This window comes from Homo sapiens, chromosome 9, assembly GCF_000001405.40.
Source record: "Homo sapiens chromosome 9, GRCh38.p14 Primary Assembly".
Lineage (NCBI taxonomy): Eukaryota > Metazoa > Chordata > Mammalia > Primates > Hominidae > Homo > Homo sapiens.
In genome coordinates this window covers 2,199,825-2,220,669 of record NC_000009.12, presented here as the reverse complement: position 1 = coordinate 2,220,669, position 20,845 = coordinate 2,199,825, and the positions used below count along the sequence as shown (strand labels likewise).

The 20,845-nt window shown below is 39.7% G+C and overlaps 1 long non-coding RNA gene across 2 annotated transcripts in view, besides 1 other annotated feature; it reads left to right on the top strand.

Annotated features, from left to right (window-relative positions):
- Window positions 1–20,845, top strand: part of LOC107987043 (uncharacterized) — a 70,735-nt gene that overhangs the window by 21,950 nt on the left and 27,940 nt on the right. The window lies entirely within an intron of this gene.
- Window positions 19,662–20,238: an enhancer, noted in NCBI's record as "OCT4-NANOG-H3K27ac hESC enhancer chr9:2200432-2201008 (GRCh37/hg19 assembly coordinates)". NCBI's record gives its function as "activates a minimal SCP1, AML or CMV promoter by ChIP-STARR-seq in naive H9 embryonic stem cells {active_cell/tissue: H9 hESC(naive)}" and the evidence as "EXISTENCE:reporter gene assay evidence [ECO:0000049][PMID:30033119]".

Sequence of the window (20,845 nt, the reverse complement as noted above, 5' to 3'; positions counted from 1 at the left end):
TATAATTGCCATAACTTGGAAGCAACCAAGATGTCCTTCAGTAGATGTATGGATAAATAAATCATGGTCCGTCTAGAGAATGGGATAGTTGGTGCTAAAAGAAATGAGCTATCGAGCCAAGAAAAGACATGGAGGAAACTTAGTGTGTATTATTAAGTGAAAGAAACCAGTCTAAAAAGGCTACATACTGTATGATTCCAACCGTATGGCACTCTGGAAAAGGCAAACTATGAAGAAAGTAAAAAGATCAGTGGTTGCCTGGGATTATGAGGGAAAGAGAAATTAATTAGCAAAGTATGGAGGACTTCCAGGGTGGAAGTCCCCTGAAATTATTCCGTATGATATTATAATGGTGGATATATGTCATTATACATTTGTGAAAACTACCACAAGAATGAACCCTAACGAAAGCTATGGACTTTGAGTAATAATGACGTGTCAGTGTAGGTTCATGAACTGTGACAAATATACCACTCTGATGGAAGATGTTGATAATGAGGCAGGCTGTTTATGTGGAGGGGCAGTGGGGAGTAGATGGGAAATCTCTGTACCATCCTCTCAATTTTGTTGTGAACCTAAAACTCCTTTAAAAGATAAAGTTTATTTAAAAATAAAAAGTAAAGGAAGCATATTTCAGAGCTGCAGCTCTGCCCATAGATAAAATTTTCCACGATGGAAGAGAAAACCAAATACCACATGTTCTAACCCATAAATGGAAGCTAAGCTTTGAGTATATATGGACACAAAGAAGGGAAATACAGACATCAGGGCCTATTTGAGGGAGGAGCGTGAGGATAGAAAAACTACTTAACAGGTACTATTCTTATTACCTGGGTGACAAAACAGTCTGTACACCAAACCCCCACAACGAGTAATTTATTTACCTATACAACAAACCTATATATATATACATGTACCCCTGGACCTAAATTAAAAATGTTCCACTGTGGTACCTAGAGAACACTTACCTTTTCTCATTCTCAAACCATGCCATGATAATGGTTTTTATTTTGTAAGACTGAAAGGCCCAAAACATGATCTTACCACTCCTTCCATTTTCCCACCAAAGTCCCCGCAGGCTCACAATTGTGAACCCAAAACTCAGCTACCAGGAAAAAGAGATGACCTGCTTAAAGTTTGAAAGTGGCTGTTTCTTACCACTTCTAGTTTTCAAGTTATTCAAAATTTGTTTTACTGCCTTAACTAGAGCATCCCTTTCCCTCATTCGGGAGCAGTGATTAGAAGCCTTAAGGCTGAATGGAGACCTAAGCCACCAGAAACTTCTCTCTTCAGTAATTCTCTTTGAAGGAAGACATAGCTACCAAGATGACTCTTCAGTCCCCATCTGTCTTGGGAAGAACTAGAGGTAACCTCCTTCAGTTCAGCAGTTTAGTAGTCAGTGATAAACTTTTGAGCACTGGCTTTCCATACCTCAATTCATGATGTTTGACTCTTCTAACCTAGAATGGTGGGGAAGAATGGATAGGATGACACACAGCTTGGTGTAAATAAAACTGGAAGGATCAATAGGGCTCAACTAGCACAATAGAGAGAGGAAGTGATGCATCTATGATTACCCACATAATTAGAAATAAAGTTTATTCTAGAACCCCAAGACCTTGAAATTCTTCCTAGCATTTTACCACTGATTTTTCCTACCTTCTGCACTCTGAGGTCCCTATCAATCCTCAGATGCTTGAGGACTCTAGATAATTGAATTAAAATAGTGTAACATCAGTTTCCAAAAGATGTAATGGAAGCCTCTTCTTTATTTTTTTATTTATTATTATTTTATTTATTATTATTTATTTATTGTTTATCTTTGCTACAATTGAAATTCCCCTAAATTGGAGGGCTAACACTTGTCATTCATCCCGTGAGTCAACAAACACATCATTACGCCCTTAGTTCCAAACACTAGGCCAGACCCTAGGACAGAATGAGGGGCCACATAAACAAGGTCTACTAAGCTTAGAACCTAGAAGATGAAGTACTCTAAAATCTGACATTGAAGGAGAAACTGGGTGTTTCTTTTATGAAGAGACCCTTGAAGATAGAATATGGAAGGTTTTCTTCCAGGTCATTTGGAAGTGCTTGGTTTAAATCCTGTTACTAACTAGTAGAGAGAATAACCCAGGGTCAGAAGAAATGGATAGTCAACTCTTTCTCCTACTCAGTGGTAAATCCTAGCCTTCCCCGTGCATATTCTTGAATCATATCATTATTCTATGACTTATAAAGTCCGTCCCTTGATTTAATAGTGGGGATAACTGCTTCTTTAATAATACATAGCAGTGTTAAGTGATAGCTTGCATTCTAGTAGCAAGAGTAGTGCTGAAGTAAGACTATAAATTATCAATACTTAAGCCCTAGCCTTTTTAGTCACTTCCATTTTTTAGTGAAGGAAAATCAACTTTTTTCCTCATTGACTTCTATCCCTCTTTTTTTATAGTAAACATTTAGAGATTTGCATATCGGGTGTCTAGTCTTCTCTGTCTGGTCTTGCTTTGTCATTAACAGATAGTTTATGAGACGGATGGCCTGTGAAGCTATTCTAATTTGTGATACAGTACTGTCACTAGCCTATAAATAATTAATGAAAGGGGACTTTTCTAGTGAAGAAAACTGTCAGGCCCATTGGATTGAAGTCCAATTTCAGTTCCCTTCCTGTGACTTTTTATTGAAATTTTTACGGCATAGAATCAACTTTCAGTAATGCAATAAAATGACACTAATTCAGACTGTAGAGGCTTGAGGGGGTTGGAGGGGAACCAGTTAGAATGAATAAAAGACACGTTTTTTGAAGTGAAGATATATCAAGAAATTCCATGAATTGAACTCTGCTACCAAAGGCTTTTCTAGTGGAACTGTTCTCGTAAGAGATGGCTTGGTTGCCAAGAGAGACTCACTCTAGCTGAAGTAAAGGGACATGCATGAGGATAGCAAATGCTCTCAGTGGCCCATGCATATTTCCTCAGCATTCCTGATTCTTACATGCCGATGACTTCTTAATGAAAGTCCACCTAAGAACTATCTCTGGCTGTAGGAGCATGTGAAGTCTATGCTGGCTAGGACAGAAGTGTTGGGAAGTTATCTATCCCTGCAGAGGAGCCTCAAACAATGGAAGGCAGAAGTTGGTGGATAAATAACTCAGCTCCTCACTGCTCTCAGGGGACAACTCTGAGGCATATGCGAGAGACCCCCAGTGGGATTGTACCCCAGTGGTCCACAGCAGTAACCTTCTTATCCACACACATTGCATTGGCTTTCTTTCCTTCCTTGTTTCAATTTCCCGCTCTTCTGCCAGTGTTCCCTGGGACCACCTCTCAAACAAACTACTTGCCCTGAAAACCTTTTTCAGGTTTACTTCTGGAAGAACTCAGTTAATACTGTAATGAAAGACTACAAGAGATTATATTATTTCCTGTTTATTTTCTTTCTCTACATGTTATTAAAAGAAAAAGTTTAGACCCAATACATTTAACACAGTTTATTCAGACAAAGAACAATTCATGAATTGGGCAACACTCACACGAGTTGCCATAATGTTAGCAAAGTGTTATCATCATTTAGTAAAAAGTAGGTGAAAAGCCTAAAAAATAATGCAGTGCTATTTAGTAAACGTAGACTTTCTTTTCCATGTGCTTGCATATTGTTGAAAAGACAATTACTAAATTTTATAGTGAAAATGGAGACCAGAAGAGGTTTAGATCACTCCACTCAGTAGTGTGAGCAGTGAGCTTTTATAGGACAAACATGGAAGCAAAGTAAGGAAATCACCTGATTGGCTACAGGTAGGCTTCTGCCTTCTTTGTGCATGGTATGATGAGTTGGCTGCCTTTGATTGGGTGAAGATGGGATATTTGTGGCTGGCTGAAACCGGGCTATTTGTTACCACAAAAATGTACTCCTAGTTATGTTCTGGTTTGCTTATGTACTAAGTTGGGTGGCAGTTTGTTAGGTAGAAACTCGAAGTACAGAGATAGCCTTAGGCCAGTGGCCTTTTGCTATGTAGTTTAACAATGTCTTAGCATGTCTTATGCAGTACTGCTGACCCTTGAATAGCAGGGTTTGAACTGCATGGGTCTACTTGTACATGGATTTTTTTCAATAAACATATTGGAAAATATTTTGGAGATTTGTGATAATTCAAAAAAACCTACAGATGAACCACACAGCCTAGAAAATATCAAAAAAATTAAGAAGAAATTAGATATGTCATAAATGCATAATATATACGTAGATACTAGTTTATTTTATCATTTACTACCATAGTTCTTATAAAAAGTTAAGATGTATCAAAACTTCCACACTTACTGACCATACATGACACCATTCACAGCAGAAAGAAATGCAAACAGAAATAGTTGCATTATTAAATCATAACTGCATAAAATTAACTGCAGTACATACTGTACTACCGTAGGAATTTTGTAGCCGCCTCCTGTTGCTATTGCAGTGAGCTCAAGTGTTGTGACTATCTGCTTAAAATGCCCTGATGCTAATTATCTCTGCGTGAACATTCGCTTTTCCAGTAAATCGCATATTGCAGTAAAATGTGATCTCTTGAAGTTCTTGGGTATTTTCCATCGTGTTTTGTGCAATACCGTAAACCTTGAATAACACTATGGAACCCATACAAAGTGCTACTACTGATGCTGGGAGTGCTTCCAAGAAGCAGAGAAAACTCATGGCTTTACAAGAAAAACTTGAACTGCTTGATATGTACCATAGATTGAGGTCTGCAGCTGCGGTTGCCCACCGTGTCAGAGAGGCGATTCATCTTGTAAACAGATAACATAAATTTGCAGTATTGATAAATACAGTACCGTACTGTAAATGTATTTTCTCTTTCTCATTATTATTATTATTTTTTTTTATTTTTTATGAGATGGAGTCTCGCTTGGTCACCCAGGCTGGAGTGCAGTGGCTGGATCTCGGCTCACTGCAACCTCCGCCTCCTGTGTTCAAGCGATTCTCCTGCTTCACCCTCCCAAGTAGCTGGGATCACAGGCATCTGTCACCACACCTGGCTAATTTTTGTATTTTAGGTAGAGATGGGGTTTCACCATGTTGGCCAGGCTGGTCTCAAACTCCTGACTTCAGGTGATCCACCTGCCTCGGTCTCCCAAAGTGCTAGGATTACAGGAATGAGTCACCGTGCCTGGCCACATGATTTTCTTAGTAACATTTTTTTTTCTCTGGCTTACTTCATTGTAAGAATAGAGTATATAACAAATATAACATAAAATATATGTATTAATCGACTATTTTTGTTACTACTAAAGCTTCAATCAACAGTAGGCTATAAGCAAAGTTTTTGGAGAGTCAAAAGCTATATATGGATTTTCAACTGTGTGGGGGTTGGCACCCCTAAGCCTTGCATTGTTCAAGGGTCAAGTGTACTCTGTTCATATTAGAAGTTAAATAACTTTTGTGGGGTGAATTGATGATATTTTGTAGGGTAAAGTGGTTTACTAAATTCTGGCTTCCCTTGAAGCTCAATTGTGGACACTTAGCAATATGCAGGAAGAAGGGAGATGCTGGCAGCTATAGGTCAATTAATTTATTGTACTGTTAAAGATTTGTAATCGCTCTGAAATCCTCTTTCCCAAGGATAAATTTTGTCTCTAAGGTTGATAATGAATCAGTCAGACGTTTCGTGTTTCTGTTGATTCTAGTCTGATTGTCTTAGATCTGGATGCTATGCACTTAATAAAGAATGACATGTGCGCATTGGGAGGCAGCCTTACAGAGGGATTAAAAACAAGGAGGGGCTCTGGCACCACACTGTCTACTTGAATCCTGGCACTGCCACTTACTGAGTGACCTTGGACAAGTTGTTTAACCCTCCATGCCTGCTATCCTCATTTGTAAAACAGGAATCATAATATTCAGCCTTGCAGACTCATTTTGAGGATTATTTCTAGCACAGCACGTAACCTGTGCTTAGCACAATAAAGTTAGCAAGTATTACCGTCATTTAGTAAAAAGTAGGTGAAAAGCCTAAAAATAATATATCACTCTCTAGTAAACATCGACTGTCTTTTCCATGTGCTTGTATATTGTCAAGAAAGATAATTCTCAAACCTTGTAGTGAAAATGGAAAATACTTATGAGTAAGGTTTGCCATTACACAGATAGATGGGGCTGACGGGGCGAAAGAAGAAAACCACCACTTGTTGAGGGTCATCTACATGCCAGGCGCTTTATGGAAATCACCTTATTAACTCACACAGTTCATGGCATTCAATCCAGATCTGCACAGTCCAAATCTTGCTGTGCCACTCTCCCTCCCAAATATAACAAAATTCCTGCCCAACTTTATCCAGTAAACTGTGTAAGAAGGCATGACTGTGGATTTGAGTTTGCTCAGTCATCGTGACCTTGAGTAACCTCCCTGGCCCGCTATCTCCTCCTGTTTTCCACCTTAGCTCTCTTTTCTTTTCTTGTGGGGGAGACTCATCTAAGATCAGCTCCAGATACTCATGCCCCTCAGTGTCCCGGTTCTGTTTCTCCCTATCTCAGTCCTGTTTCTCACTATGTCGGTCCTGTTTCTCCCTGTCCCTGGACCCTGTTGGCCATGGTGCTTCAACTGCCAAACCCATTGTGAAGCAGCTAAACTAGTGCCTGAGCTGGGAAGAACAGGGAGCCCAGGCCCCTGGGTGTGCCCTGAGCTGTGTATACTTCCTCTTGCCTTTGAGTTGTTTTCATTCCATGGATCAGACAGAAGACTGTATTTTTACTGTGGCTCCAAAGGAAAGATGCTGCGTCAGTATTGCTTTAGGCATCCCATAGTTGGGGAATCTTCCCTGTGTTCCCAAATTTCAGTGAAGCAAGTGACTTTTCAAAATAACAAATCAATTTGAGGTTTCTTATGTCCACAGGCTTGCTTCTTAGAGAGTTGTTTTGATGTTAAGTTTGGGGAGTGACTCCACCTTTGTCCTTAAGTGTCACTGAACTACATACCTGGCATGTAGTTAGGTTAAGCAAAATATCACTGATAAGTGAAGTTCCATAGAGGCCTTCCAATACCCTGCTTAACAGCTTATAAGCAAATATGCCCACTAGTAAAGAATAAGTGTTATGTAAACAAGAAAGTATGCAAATTCTGGTCATGCTCATCAGCAAAGGCTTTTCTTGCAATAGACTGAGTGCCGTTTTCCAGGAGTTAATAAATTGGACAAAATATATCAGCAAGTTCTTTCTTCCTTTGCTCCGCTTACCTAGTCAAGACTAATAAAGTACCGTGTATTTAATGACATATGCTTTGCCTATTTCCATTGCATCTGGGAACTTACACACATGCAATCTTTTTTCTTTAATTACCTGACTCCAAACATTCAATATTTTTGCAAGATCTGAAGTTATTATTTAACTTTTGAATAAGAATTGCTTTTCCCCTCCAGACACATAATCTCTAATCATTTTCTTCAGTATAAAGTTGACAATTCATTTTTCTCCTAAGCAATAAGACATGACTGCCTCTGCATAATGAAGGATTCCAAAAACCTGGATTTATGATGAAGCACATAGCAAAACTAATTGCATTTAACTACAAAAGTCTAATCAGCATAAAAAATAGAATATAGACACTCATTGAATGACAGCATCAGAAAGGACTTTAGAGATAATTTATTATCAGCTCAGCTTACAGATGAGAAAACTCAGGCCCAGAAAGATCTGGGTCTAAAAATCTCACTTCCCAGGGCCTCTGTACAGTGCTCCTTTTTCTTAAGCTAACCTACTTTCTTATATACTTTACATTTTGAAAAAAATATTTTTGAATGTACTTGACAAGAAATTTAATTTCCTGAAGGACGTGTATATTTTAAATTTTATTGCAAGACCAGGTCAGATGTGACATACAGCAGGCAAAATTTCCAACTCTCTCCCCAGGCAGGAAGAGCCTTTTCTCTCTGAATTCCCATAAGACATTCTTCACCTATCACATAATACTTGCCTCTTCCCATCTTATATTACATTTACTTGGGTCCATGTCTTATCACCTCTAGTAGACAATGAGCTCCTTAAGAGGAAAATTTCTTTCATATCTTCCCGATTCCCTAAGTGCTTAGTACACTGACTATGTTAGTGTGGACATAGAATCTCAATTTCTTTCCCTTATTTCATCTCCCCTGCCCCTCTAAACTTTTTCCAAGGGTCTCTAAAATAATATTGACTCTTCTATTCTGAGGAAAGAATTTTCTGTTAATTTTAAACTGGTAAGATGATGGTGCAGTACAGCCAATATGCAGGAGGAGTCTGCAACTTGATCATGTAATAGTATTGTACTTCATTTCTTTATTTCTGGCTTTAAGTAAATCTAAGCAGGGTGAAATAAAGCTCAAGCTCAAACTTGTGGAATATTTTAAATAATTAAGGAGTTTAAATTCATTTTTCTTCTTGAGCTTCAGTTTTAAGAGTAAGTTAATTAAAATTTGCAATTTGCTTTTTGTTATTGTTGCTTCTAGAATTAGGATTAAAACTGAGATTCCATTGCAGCCACCTAGGAGAAAGTCAAAGGTTGGGCAGTAACATTTAAAGACCTCTTCTAGCTGTTTTATATCTTCATCCATTTGGTCAATAATTATTTATTAAACACCTGCCATGTGCCAGTCTGTTACTGGACTAGGTATTATGAATATACAGTGGTGAATAAGAAAGAAGTGGTTCCCTTCCTTCAGAAAACTCGTAATGATGGCAAAACTCAGAATGATGGGGAGGGCAGGTAAGCCACTGAGACATTATAGTAAGGTGTAATGGCTTTGATGGGAAAAACACAGGGCTTCTGTGGAAACGCACGGAAGAAGCATTTACACTCAATCATGAAGACAGCAGGGAAGGCTTTCTGGAGAGTGGTATCTGTTCTGAAGCCAGAGGGCTAAGTGAGTTAGCCAGGATAGAGAAAACCACATGTGCAAAGTCCCAGAGGCAAGAGAGAGAGCTTGATGTGTTTAGGAAGTGAAAGGAGCCCAAGAAGGTCTAGGGTTTGGAATGGAAGCCCAATTACAACAGGGGTCTCAGTAATGTGAATAAGTAAAGTGAGCTTTCATGACCTTTCAAGAAAGGGCACCTGCGCCGGGCGCGGTGGCTCACACACACCTGTAGTAATCCCAGCACTTTGGGAGGCCGAGGCGGGCGGATCACGAGGTCAGGAGATCGAGACCATCATGGCTAACAGTGTGAAACCCTGTCTCTACTAAAAATACAAAAAATTAGCCGGGCGTAGTGGCGGGCGCCTGTAGTCCCAGCTACTTGGGAGGCTGAGGCAGGAGAATGGCGTGAACCCGGGAGGCGGAGCTTGCAGGGAGCCGAGATCGCGCCACCGCACTCCAGCCTGGGCGACAGAGCCAGACTCCGTCTCAAAAAAAAAAAAAAAAAAAAAAGGCACCTGCAAGTTAGCTCCTGCTGGTTACTGCCAGGCAGAAGGATAGCCCTATATTATTATATTTATAAATTTTCCAACAGAAACTTGGAGTCTGGATTTTTATGAGAAATTGGCCAATTTTTAAATGTTAGTTATTAGGAAATGTTTTAAACATAGTGTGGTCCAATAACATGGTCTGCCAGCTGGATCCAACCTGTGGCTACTAGTTGATAATATCTGATCTAGAGCAATGATTCTTCAAGTGTGGTTCAGAGACCAGCATCAGCATCACCTGTGAGCTTCTCAGAAATGCAAATCCTCAGTGTCCACCTCACACCTAATGAATCAAAAATGCTGTGGATGGCCCTGCAATCTGTGATTTAATCAGCCCTCCTGGTGATTCTGATGCAGCTGAAGTTTGAGAACCCCTAGGCTTACAGCTGTGCTATTCAATATGGTAGGTACATGGGCCATTAAATACCTGAAATGTTGATTCTCCACACTGAGACGTGTGCCACATGTGAAATACATACGGGTTTTCAAAGATTTTGTACGAACAAAATGTAAACTATCTCAATAATATTTTTTATATTGATTACATGCTGAAATTATATTTTGAATGTATTGGGTTAAGTAAAATATATAATTGAAATTCATTTCATCTGTTTCTTTTTATTTTTTAAAATCTGTCTACTAGAAAATTCAAAATTCCATGTATTGTATTTCCATTGCCGAGTGCTAGTCTACAGTCTATTTTGTAAGGCAGAGAACAACAAGCCTTACAAGACTTTGTAGGTCATGCTCTAAAGATCTATATTTTGAGAGCAAGGAAAAAAAAACCCTCAAAATGATCTAAGCAGGATGACAAGTCAGATCAGATTGGTGTTTTAGACAAACACTGACTGGAGTATGTCTCATACAATGAAGGGATGCCAGATTATACACACTGAGACTGGATGGAATAATCCAGCAGGAAGATGCTGGACTGGCGTTGACATTCTGTATATTCAATTAATATATTTATTCAGTGCATATTTCTTAGCTGGGTGAAGGGGGAAGTTTCACCCAAACATGAGTAACATAATCTGTGTCTTCAAAGGAGTGTATAGTCTAGTACAGAAAACCCTTAGGGGCAGCTTGTAGTTCTAATTGAAGTACTAGTTAGGAGCAAGGACTCTGGAGCTGGTCTTCCTGGAGTTGTATCCCAGCTCAATTATTTGCTAGCTGAGTGACCCTGGGCAAGTGACTTCAGTTCTCTAAGCCTCCATTTTCTTGTCTGTAGAAGAGAAATAATAATAGTGTCTACCTCATAAATCTATTGCATAGACTCAAATAAGTGTGTGTGTGTGTGTATTGCCATTTTTGTCACAATCCAAGGGGAACTAGAGTGGGAAGATGGGGCCAAGTTAAGGAATTAGCTAGCCTTTACTCTGCTGCTGTTTTGGTGGTGTTTTAAAATGCTGCTCTTCCTGAATCTGAATGCACAAGAACAGGATGGCTGGAGTTTCTTCAGGCTGGGGCCACTTTGATTTAACTTTTTTCACTTTCTCAGTTTATTTTACCCCAACCTTCATCCTTCAGCCCTCATGCTTTCACTTCTCTCCAAGAGCCCACTGCAAGTTTCTCAGTCTTGTTGAAATCATCATCATCGTCATCATCAAATAAAGTCCTTCACTATTTCCCCTTTCAGATCCATTTCCACGTGTCCTTTGTCAGCCTGATGAAGGAAATGAGTAATGACTATTTCTAATACCCTCTGAAGACAGTGAGATAAGAATGACTCTTCCATGATTGCTGAATGGGCTTTGAGCAGATAAGAGAAGCTTTGGGCAGACATTTCATGTGAATTGTTTGAAAGCTGCACATTCTAAGCCCACTTTTTCAAAGGCAGATGGTGAGTTACTTTCTGATGGCCTACCAAGATGAAAATTTCAAGAACAGTTTGTCCTGTCTCATGTCTCCCCCTCCTTCCAGTCTCAATTCTGATTTTACATCTACAACAAAACCTTCAAGTCCTTACCCCTGGTCTCTGTGTCCCCATTGCACTTGGCTCTCAGTTCCTTATAGCACTCATCCTTTTCAGCAGCAATAAATAAACACATACTACAAATGACCAGACTGTCCCATCAATGTGGAAGTGTCAATATGATGAAATACATGCAGTGGTTAGGAAGAATGAGGCAGCTCTTTGTGCACTGATATGAATGTTTGATAAGGTAAATTATGTGAAAAAAGTAAGGTGCAGGAAAGTGCATATATTATGCTACATAAAATCTGTGTTTAAAAAGGAAAAGAAAGCCACAATCTAAGGTACCATAAATTGTAAATGTGTTTTTATTTTATTTATTATTAAGAAAGGAAAATTGTTGCCAATTAAAATTATGACATCATAGATTGAAAGGCATTGATGTCTTTCAAAGATGTAAAAATATATGGATTTAGTGTATTTATATTGGCTTATATGGAATATCTCCAGTTCTCACATCGTATAAGGTCTTTTGGGGACGGAGCTGCTCTGACCCAGTGGGCTTCTCATTCTGTATGGGCTGTGCTGACTATAAATATCCCTCTGTAAGCTGCTGACGGGAGGCTGCAGAGTAGTGTGTCACATGCTGGTATCTTTGCCTGGGGTGCTGATGTACTAGTATCCTTATCTGGTCTACAACCTTTATATACTGCTTGCTTGGTTGCTTGGAAGTTAACAGAGGTGAAACAACTTTGAACCAAATCCAAGTTGTGATTATCATCCGTTCTGTAACCAAGGCCAGATGCTGTGGTTTACACTTGCTCAGCTTTATAAAGCAGGTAAAAGACTTTGGTACTCATTGGGTAATGAGACACCACTGCAGGGGTCTTAAGCTAGTTAGTTACCACATCAGATTTTCCTTTTAATAAGAATGTTGAGACCAGGCACGGTGGCTCATGCCTGTAATCCCAGCACTTTGGGAGGTCAAGGCAGGCAGATTGCTTGAGCTTAGGAGTTCAAGACCAACCTGGGCAACATAGTGAGACCCCATTCTCTAAAAAATACAAAAAAATATTGGCCAAGAGTGGTGGCATACTCCTGTAGTCCCCCTACATGGGAGGCTGAGATGTGAGGATCACCTTTTTGGCCCAGGGAGGTCACGATTGCAGTGGGCTGTGATAGCGCCACTACACTCCACTCTGGGTGACAGAGACCCTGTCTCCAAAAAAAAAAAAAAAAGTTGGCTTTGGCTTTGGAGAGGAGTGTATTGGAATGGGCAGGTAAGGGTTTTTGTGATTCTACACAGGAGATGCAGGTACTGAGTTTACTAGCCTTGGTCGTTTCCGCAGTTTTGAGCAAAGGACATGGCATCAGGTACCTTCAATATATTTTTAAAAAGAAGATCATTAAAGGAGATAAACAGGCTGAAAGTTGGGAATAGACTTTGAAAGCAGTGGAAACTGGTATTCGACCTTAGGGAAACTGTCCCTATTTTGGTATTTATTAAAAACTTGGACTCCCAGTGATGTTTCCAGTAAGTCTGTAGAAATTCTGCTAGGTTGGTCGGGCGTAGTGGCTCACGCCTGTAATCCCCGTACTTTGAGAAGCCGAGGTGGATGGATCACCTGAGGTCAGGAGTTCAAGACCAGTCTGGGCAACATGGTGAAATCCCATCTCTACTAAAAATATAAGAATTAGCCCATGTGGTGGCGCATGCCTGTAATCCCGTTACTTGGAGGCTGAGGCACGAGAATTGCTTGAACCCAGGAAGCAGAGGTTGCAGTGAGCCGAGATCATGCCATTGCACTCCAGCCTGGGCGACAGAGCAAGACTCTGTTCCAAAAAAAAAAAAAAAAAAAAATTCTGCTAGGTTGGATGATTCAAATGCCCACTGATGAAAGTGTGTTCAGAATTACACACCTGGAATGCATCGTGGCGTGCAAATATAGTGCAATCCCTTTCTAATACTCTTGTAGGACAAAGAAACTGCATTGTGTTTTCTGACAGTCCATTAGTGTGGTCCTTTCCTGGAAGCATTAGTTATTTATATATGGCGCTCATGCTTGAATCTGTAATATTGAATGCTCTTAAATAGAGCCTACATTTCCAAATCAAACAGCTTAAAAATGTTATAATGAGTATAAATTATCTGGACTTTTTAAATGTACATTATTACTATCAGGCTGTCCCTCTCCAGAGACACATTCACTAGCAGTCACACTCCAAATATTCCACATGCCAAACCTACTCAAAATGAGTGAAATAATGATATTTCTATTAAACCTTAGCAAACAGCAAACTAGTCTCCTCACCACAGAGAGGTAATTTAAACTGGTATCACCTTTATGGGCCAGTTTTCCCAAGAGCTACCAGCCTGAGGAAATTTCTCCAGAAGCCTAGGGGTGAAGAAAAAGCTTGTACTTTTTCTTGAGATTCTTCCTGTCAGCTCAGGGAGCTGGCAAGGAACTAGACTCAAGGCCCTGCTATTTGAAAACTTTGCTTTCCAGAAGCACACTGACCATTTTACAAAGTTGAATGCTAGGGAAAATATGGGTTGTTTGCTTTCTGAAGAAACCCTTTCTATGTGCAACTAAATTAAGGAGCAGAAGCAGCTGAGAGAAAACTCAGCATCTCCTTCACCAAATAAGAGGCTTAAAGGAAAAGAAGACAAGGAACGTAATTTTGCAGGTCGTCTTTAAAAGAAGAGGAAGATGGACTTTTTAAGAAAATAAGTATCTGGAAGCTTTAGCTAAGCATAAACATGATTGAGGAAAAAAGGCAGTCATTGTTAGTTTTTTTTTTTTATTTTAATCCACTGTAATTGGAAATACAATGTTTCCAGCAATGATATAAAGGTAAACCGGGGCCAGATGGGGTGGCTTATGGCTGTAATCCCAACACTTTGGGAGGCTGAGGCAGGCGGATCACTTGAGGCCAGGAGTTTGAGACCAGCCTGGCCAACATGGTGAAACCCTGACTCTACTAAAAATACAAAATTTAGCCAGGCATAGTGGTACATGCCTGTAAACCCAGCTACTCGGGAGGCTGTGGCATGAGAATCACTTGTACCCAGGAGGTGGAGGTTGCAGTGAACCAAGATCCTGACACTGAACTCCAGCCTGGGCAACACAGTGAGACTCTGCCTCAAAAAAAAAAAAAAAAAAAAAAAAAAAAGAAAGAAAGAAAATTGGCTTATTGTTTTAAAAACTAGAGACAAAAATTGTAGCAAGAATGGGTTTCACTTATTTGTGAGAATTATTTATAATGGAGGAGAAGAACCCCAACTGATGTCACCCCACATCTCTGTTAGAAGAGCAAAGGTTATCTAAACATGACACACTTACACACTGGAATATCATACAGCTATTAAAAAGAATGAGTTTCAAAGTGATTATACCCTTTTGCCCAATGTATAAATTCCAGTTGCTCCATTCTTGTTAATGCTCCCTACTGTCAATCTTTTTACCTGTAGCCATTCTAGTAGGTATGTAGTGGTATTTCATTGTGGCTTTATTTTGCTTTTCTCTGATGAGAGATGTTGAACTTCTTTACATGTGCTTATTGGCCATTCATACATCTTCCTTTGTGAAGTATCTGTTCAAATCTTTTGCCCATGGTTTTATTGCGTAGCTTGTTTGTTTGTTGAATTGTAAGAGATCTTTACATATAAAAATTCAAGGGACAAGCTCTTTTTCAGATATATGCTGTGAATGTTTTTTCCTAGTCTGTGGCTTGCCTTGTCATTTTCTTAACCATCTGCTTCAAAGAGCAAAGGTTTTTAATTTTGAAGAAGTGCATTTTATCAACATTTTCTTTATTGCTTCATGTTTTTGTGTCCTGCTTAAGAAATCTTTATCTAATTCAATACCACAAAAATTTTCTTTTTTTTTCTGGAAATGTAACCTTTTATCTCTTAATTTTATGATCCATTTTTATTCATTTTGAGTTAGCTTTTGTGCATGGTATGAGGTAAGTAAAGGTTGAGGTTCATTTTTATTCTCATACAGATATTCAGTTGCTATCATCGTATAAGGCTAAATCCTTACCATATATAGCAATCTCATTTCTCAGTATTTGCCTAAGAGGATTGAAAACATGTTCACACAAAGATTTGTGTGTCAATGTTCACAGCAGCCTTATTTTTAATAGCCAAGAGCTGGAAACAACATTTAGAAAAGGTACAAAAATACCGTAACATAAATGAATTTCAAAAACTTTATGTTAATTGAAAGAAATCAGACACAAAAGACTACATAATGTGTGATTCCATTTATATGAGATCCTAGAAAAAGCAATAGTATAGTGACAGAAAGCAGATCAGTAGTTACCTGAGGTTGGGGGTGAGGGTAAGAGACTGACTGCAAAGGGGATGAGTCTACCTTTTAGGGTGTTGAAATGCTCTGTATCTTATGTTACTGTACACAAGTACCATAACTCTACTTTTACAATAAACAAATTTTATTGTTTGGGAATTATATCTTAACCTGGGGCAAAGGTACATAACCAGGAGAAAATGGAAATGAAATAAATATTAAAGAGTGATTCTTTCTGGAGAATTAATTCTTTTTGCATTATGTAATGCACCTCTTTATCCCTGATAATTTTCTTTGTTCTGAAGTCTGGTTTGTCTGATATTAATAGAGCTACTCCAGCTTTCTTTTGATTAATGTTAGCTTGGTAGATCATTCACCATCCTTTTGCTTTTAATCTGTGTATGTCTTTATATTTAAGGTGAGTTTCTTATAGTCAACACAGAGCTGAGTCCTGTTTTTTGGTATACTTTGACAGTTTGTGTCTTTTAAGTTTGTATATTTAAAGTAATGTTTTAGGTCAGTGCAGTGGCTCATCCCTGTAATCCTAGCACTTTGGGAGGCTGAGGCCGGTGGATTGCTTGAGCCCAACAATTCGAGACCAGCCTGGGAAACAAAATGAGACTTTGTCTCCACAAAAGGTTTTAAAAATTAGCTCAGTATGGTGGCATACGCCTGTAGTCCTAGCTACTCAGGAGGCTGAGGTGGGAGGATCACTTGAGTCCAGGAGGTCGAGGCTACAGTGAGCCATGATCGCACCGCTTTACCCCAACCTGGGTGACAGAGTGAGACCCTGTCTCAAAAAATTAAATAAATAAATAAAAATGATGTTTCAGTGATTATTGATACAGGTGGATTAATACCTACCATATTTGTTACTATTTTCCAGTTGTTGCTCTTGTTTTTTCTTTTTTTGTCTTCCAATTTTCTGCCTCCTCTGGTTTTGAGTATTTTGTATGATTCTATCTTTTCTCCTCTCTTAGCATGTGAATTATATGTTTTTTATTATTACTTTTTTAGTGGTTGCTCTAGAATTTTCAATATACTTTTACAGCTTTTCCAACTTCACTTTCAAATAATACTAGGCAACTACACGGGCAGTTTAAGTACCTTATAATAAAGTGCTCCCATCTGCCACTGTCCATCCCTTATAACATTGTTGTCATTCATTTCATTTATCCATAAGCTGTAATCGTGGAATACATTATTGCTATTATTATTTTGAACAAACTGTTGCCTGTCTCTTAGGAATAAGAGAAATAAACGGTTTTATTTTACTGTATTTCTTCTCTGATACTTCCTTTCTTTACCTAGATCCAAGTTTTTGACCTATAGCATTTTCCTGCTTTCTAAAGGAAACTTTTAACATTTCTTGCAAGGCAGATTTACTGCTGATAAATTCCCTCAATTTTTATTTGAGAAAGTTTTTATTTCTCCTTCATTTTGGAAGGATAACTTCTCTGGGTACAGAATTCTTGGCTGGTGATTCTTTCAACACTAAGTGTTTTATTCCACTCTCTTCTTGCTTGCATGGTTTCTGAAGAGAAGTCTAATGTGATTCTTACACTTGCTGCTCTACAGGCAAGGCATTTCCCCCCTTTGGCTTCTTTCAATATTTTTTCTATTTCTTTGATTTTCTGCAGTTTGATTATGATATGCCTAGATGTAGATTTTTTTTGGCATTTATCTTGCTTGGTGTTCTCTGAGCTTTGTGCATCTGTAGTTTGGTACTTATCTTTAGTATGGGAAACTCTCAGACACTAGTGCTTCACATATTCTGTTCCTTTTTCTCTTTCTTTCTCCTGGTATTTCCATTATGCATATGTTGTCCCTTTTATACTTGTGCTACTGTTCTTGGTTGTTCTGTTCTGTTTTATTGGTTTTTGGAGGTTTTTTTTGTTTTTTTTGTTTTTTGGATTTCAGTTTTGGGAGTTCCTATGGACATTTCTTTTAAGCTCACTAATTCTTTCCTTGGCTGTGTCCAGTCTACTAATGAGCTCAGCAGAGACATTCTTTATTTTTGTTACAGTAATTTTGATTTCTAGCATTTCCTTTTGATTCTTAGAGTCTTCATTTACCTGTTTACATTACCCATTTGTTCTTTCATTAGAACACTTAGCATATTAATTATAAATTTATGTTCTTTTAAATTTATGGCGATAATTTAACATCTCTGCCATATCTGAGTCTGGTTCTGATGCTTGCTCTGTCTCTTCAAAATGTTTTAAAAAAAAAAAATTTTAGTGTAATTTTTTGTTTCAAGCCACACAGGATGTACAGGGTAGAAAGAACTGAGATAAATAGGCCTTAGTGTGAGGTTTTATGTTTATCTGGCTAGGGGTTAGGCTGTTTTTACTGTTTGCTGTAGCTATAAGTATCTGAAGCTAAACTTTCCTCTGGTGTCCTTGTTTTTGTCTTTCTTGTTGCTTTTGAGTTTCCTTAGAGATTTTAAAAATATCACCTGCTATGTATAGTCCTTTCCATTGTATTGCCCTGTTATTATACAGAAGCCCTATTGATGTGGTGATGAGGTATTAGGAGGAGAAAAAGCAGTTGATCGTCTTACAATTAGGTCTGAGTCTCTTAGTGAGCCTGTGCACCTGGGTTGTGACCTTCATGAGTGCTTCTGTTTTGCTTTTTCATTTTGCCCCCGTAAGAGACACAGGAAGGCTAGAGAATACTCTAGTTGGGACTTCCCTTCTTCCACATGAGTTAGGCTCTGGTACAACAGTTTCTCTTGAAGGCAGGCCTATTAAGAAGAACAGAATATTCTGGTGTATGTTTAAATGTTTGCTTTTCCCTTCCCACTGCTGGAAATACAAAGTGATACTGTTCTAATCTCCTGTGAGAATCTAATAAGGCTCCTGGGGGTAAAATTCACAAAGGGTGGGCCCCTTAAGACTGGGTCCCCTGGAGTTTTTTACTCTCGAACTGTCCACACTGAACCTCCAGCAATTCATTAGTTATAGATTAAGTTTTCTTCCTCTGGTACTGGTGAGTTTGCTACTCTTGGACTTCCACTCCTGTAGGTCATGATTCTCGGTATCCACCTGATATGGTTTGGGTTTGTGTCCAAATCTCACATCAAATTGTAATCCCCAATGTTGGAGGAGGGGCCTGGTGGGAGGTGGCTTGATCTTGGGGGTGGATTTCCTCCTTGCAGTTCTCGTGATAGTGAGTGAGTTCTCACAAGATTTGGATGTTTAAAAGTGTGTAGCACCACCCCACTGGCTCTCTTTCTCCTGCTTCTGCCATGTGAGACATGCCTGCTTCCCCTTCACCATCTGCCATAATTGTTTCCTGAGGCTTCCTCAGCCATGCTTCCTGTGCAGCCTGTGGAATCATGAGCCAATTAAACCCCTTTTCTTTATAAATAACCCAGTCTTAGATAGTTCTCAATAGCAGTGTGAGAACAAACTAATACAGAAAATTGGTACAGAGAGTGGGGTATTGCTATAAAGATACATGAAAATGTGGAAGTGACCTTGGAACTGGGTAATGGGCAGATGTTGGAACAGCTTGGAGGGCTCAGAAGACAGGAAGATGAAGAAAAGTATGGAACTTCCTAGAGACTTGTTAAATTTTTGTAACAAAAATGCTAATAGCGATATGGACAACAAAGTCCAGGCTGCCAGGCACAGTGGCTCACGCCTGTAATCCCAGCACTTTGGGAGGCCAAGGCGGGCAGATCACGAGGTCAGGAGATCGAGACCATCCTGGCTAACATGGTGAAACCCCGTCTTTACTAAAAATAAAAAAAATCAGCCAGGTGTGGTGGCACGCACCTGTAGTCCCAGCTACTCAGGAGGGCGAGACAGGAGAATAACTTGAACCCAGGAGGCGGAGGTTGCAGTGAGCCAAGATCGCGCCACTGCACTCCAGCTTGGGTGACAGAGCATGACTCGCTCTCAAAAATAAAAAATAAAAATAAAAATAAAAAAAATAAAGTCCAGGCTGAGGTGGTCTCAAATGAAGCCTCTGAGGAACACATTGGGAACTGAAGTAAAGGTCACTCTTGCCACACTGTAGCAAAAAGACTAGTGGCTTGGGCCCCTGATCTGGGGATCTGTGGAACTTTGAACTTGAGAGAGATGATTTAGGGTATCTGGCAGAAGACATTTCTAAGCAGCAAGGCATTCAAGAAGTGCCTTGGCTGCTTCTGACAGCATATGTGCATATGTGTACACAAAGAGATGATCTGAAACTGGAACTTATATTTAAAAGGGAAGCAGAGCATAAAAGTTTAGAAAAGTTGCAGCGGGACCGTGTAGTAGAAAAGAAAAACCCATTTTCTGGGGAGGAATTCAAACCAGCTGCAGAAATTTGCATAAGTAAAGAGGAGATGAGTGTTAATAGCCAAGACAATGGAGAAAATGTCTTGAAGGCATTTCAGAGACCTTTGTGGCAGCCAAGAGGCCTAGGAGGGAAGAACGATTTCACAGGCCAGGCCCAGGGCCCTGATTCCCTGCCCCACATCAGGATACTGCTGCCTACATCCCAGGGGCTCCAGCTCCAGCCATGGCTAAAAGGGCACCAGATACGTGTCAGGCTGGTGCTCCAGAGGGTGCAAGCCATAAGCCTTGGTGGCTTTCACGTGGTGTTAAGCCTGCAGGTACACAGAGGGCAAGAGTTGAGGCTTGGGAGCCTCTGCCTAGATTTCAGAGGATATATGAAAATGTCTGGATGTTCAGGCAGAAGTTTGCTGCAGGAGCAGAGCCCTTATGGACAACCTCTACTAGGGCAGTGCAGAGGGGAAATGTGGGATTGGAACCCCCACTTAGAGTCCCCACTGGGGCGCCGCCTAGTGGAGCTGTGAGAAGAGGGCAACTGTTCTACAGACCCCAGGAACCTGGAAAAGCCACAGGTACTCAATGGCAGCTCTTGAGAGCAACCATGGGAGCTGAGCCCTGCAGAGCCACAGGGGTAGGGCTGCCCAAGGCCTTAAGAGCCTATCCCTTGCATTGGTGTGGCCTGGATGTAAGACATGAAGTCAAAGGAAATTATTTTGGAGCTTTAAGATTTAATGACTATCCTGCTGGGTTTTGGACTTGCATGGGTCCTGTAACCCCTTTGTTTTGGCCAATTTCTCCTATTTGGAACGGGAGTATTAAGTAAGTAACTTGTTTTTTGTTTTGCTTGTCTTAGAGAGACTTTGGACTGTGGACTTTTGAGTTAATGCTGAAATGAGTTAAGACTTTG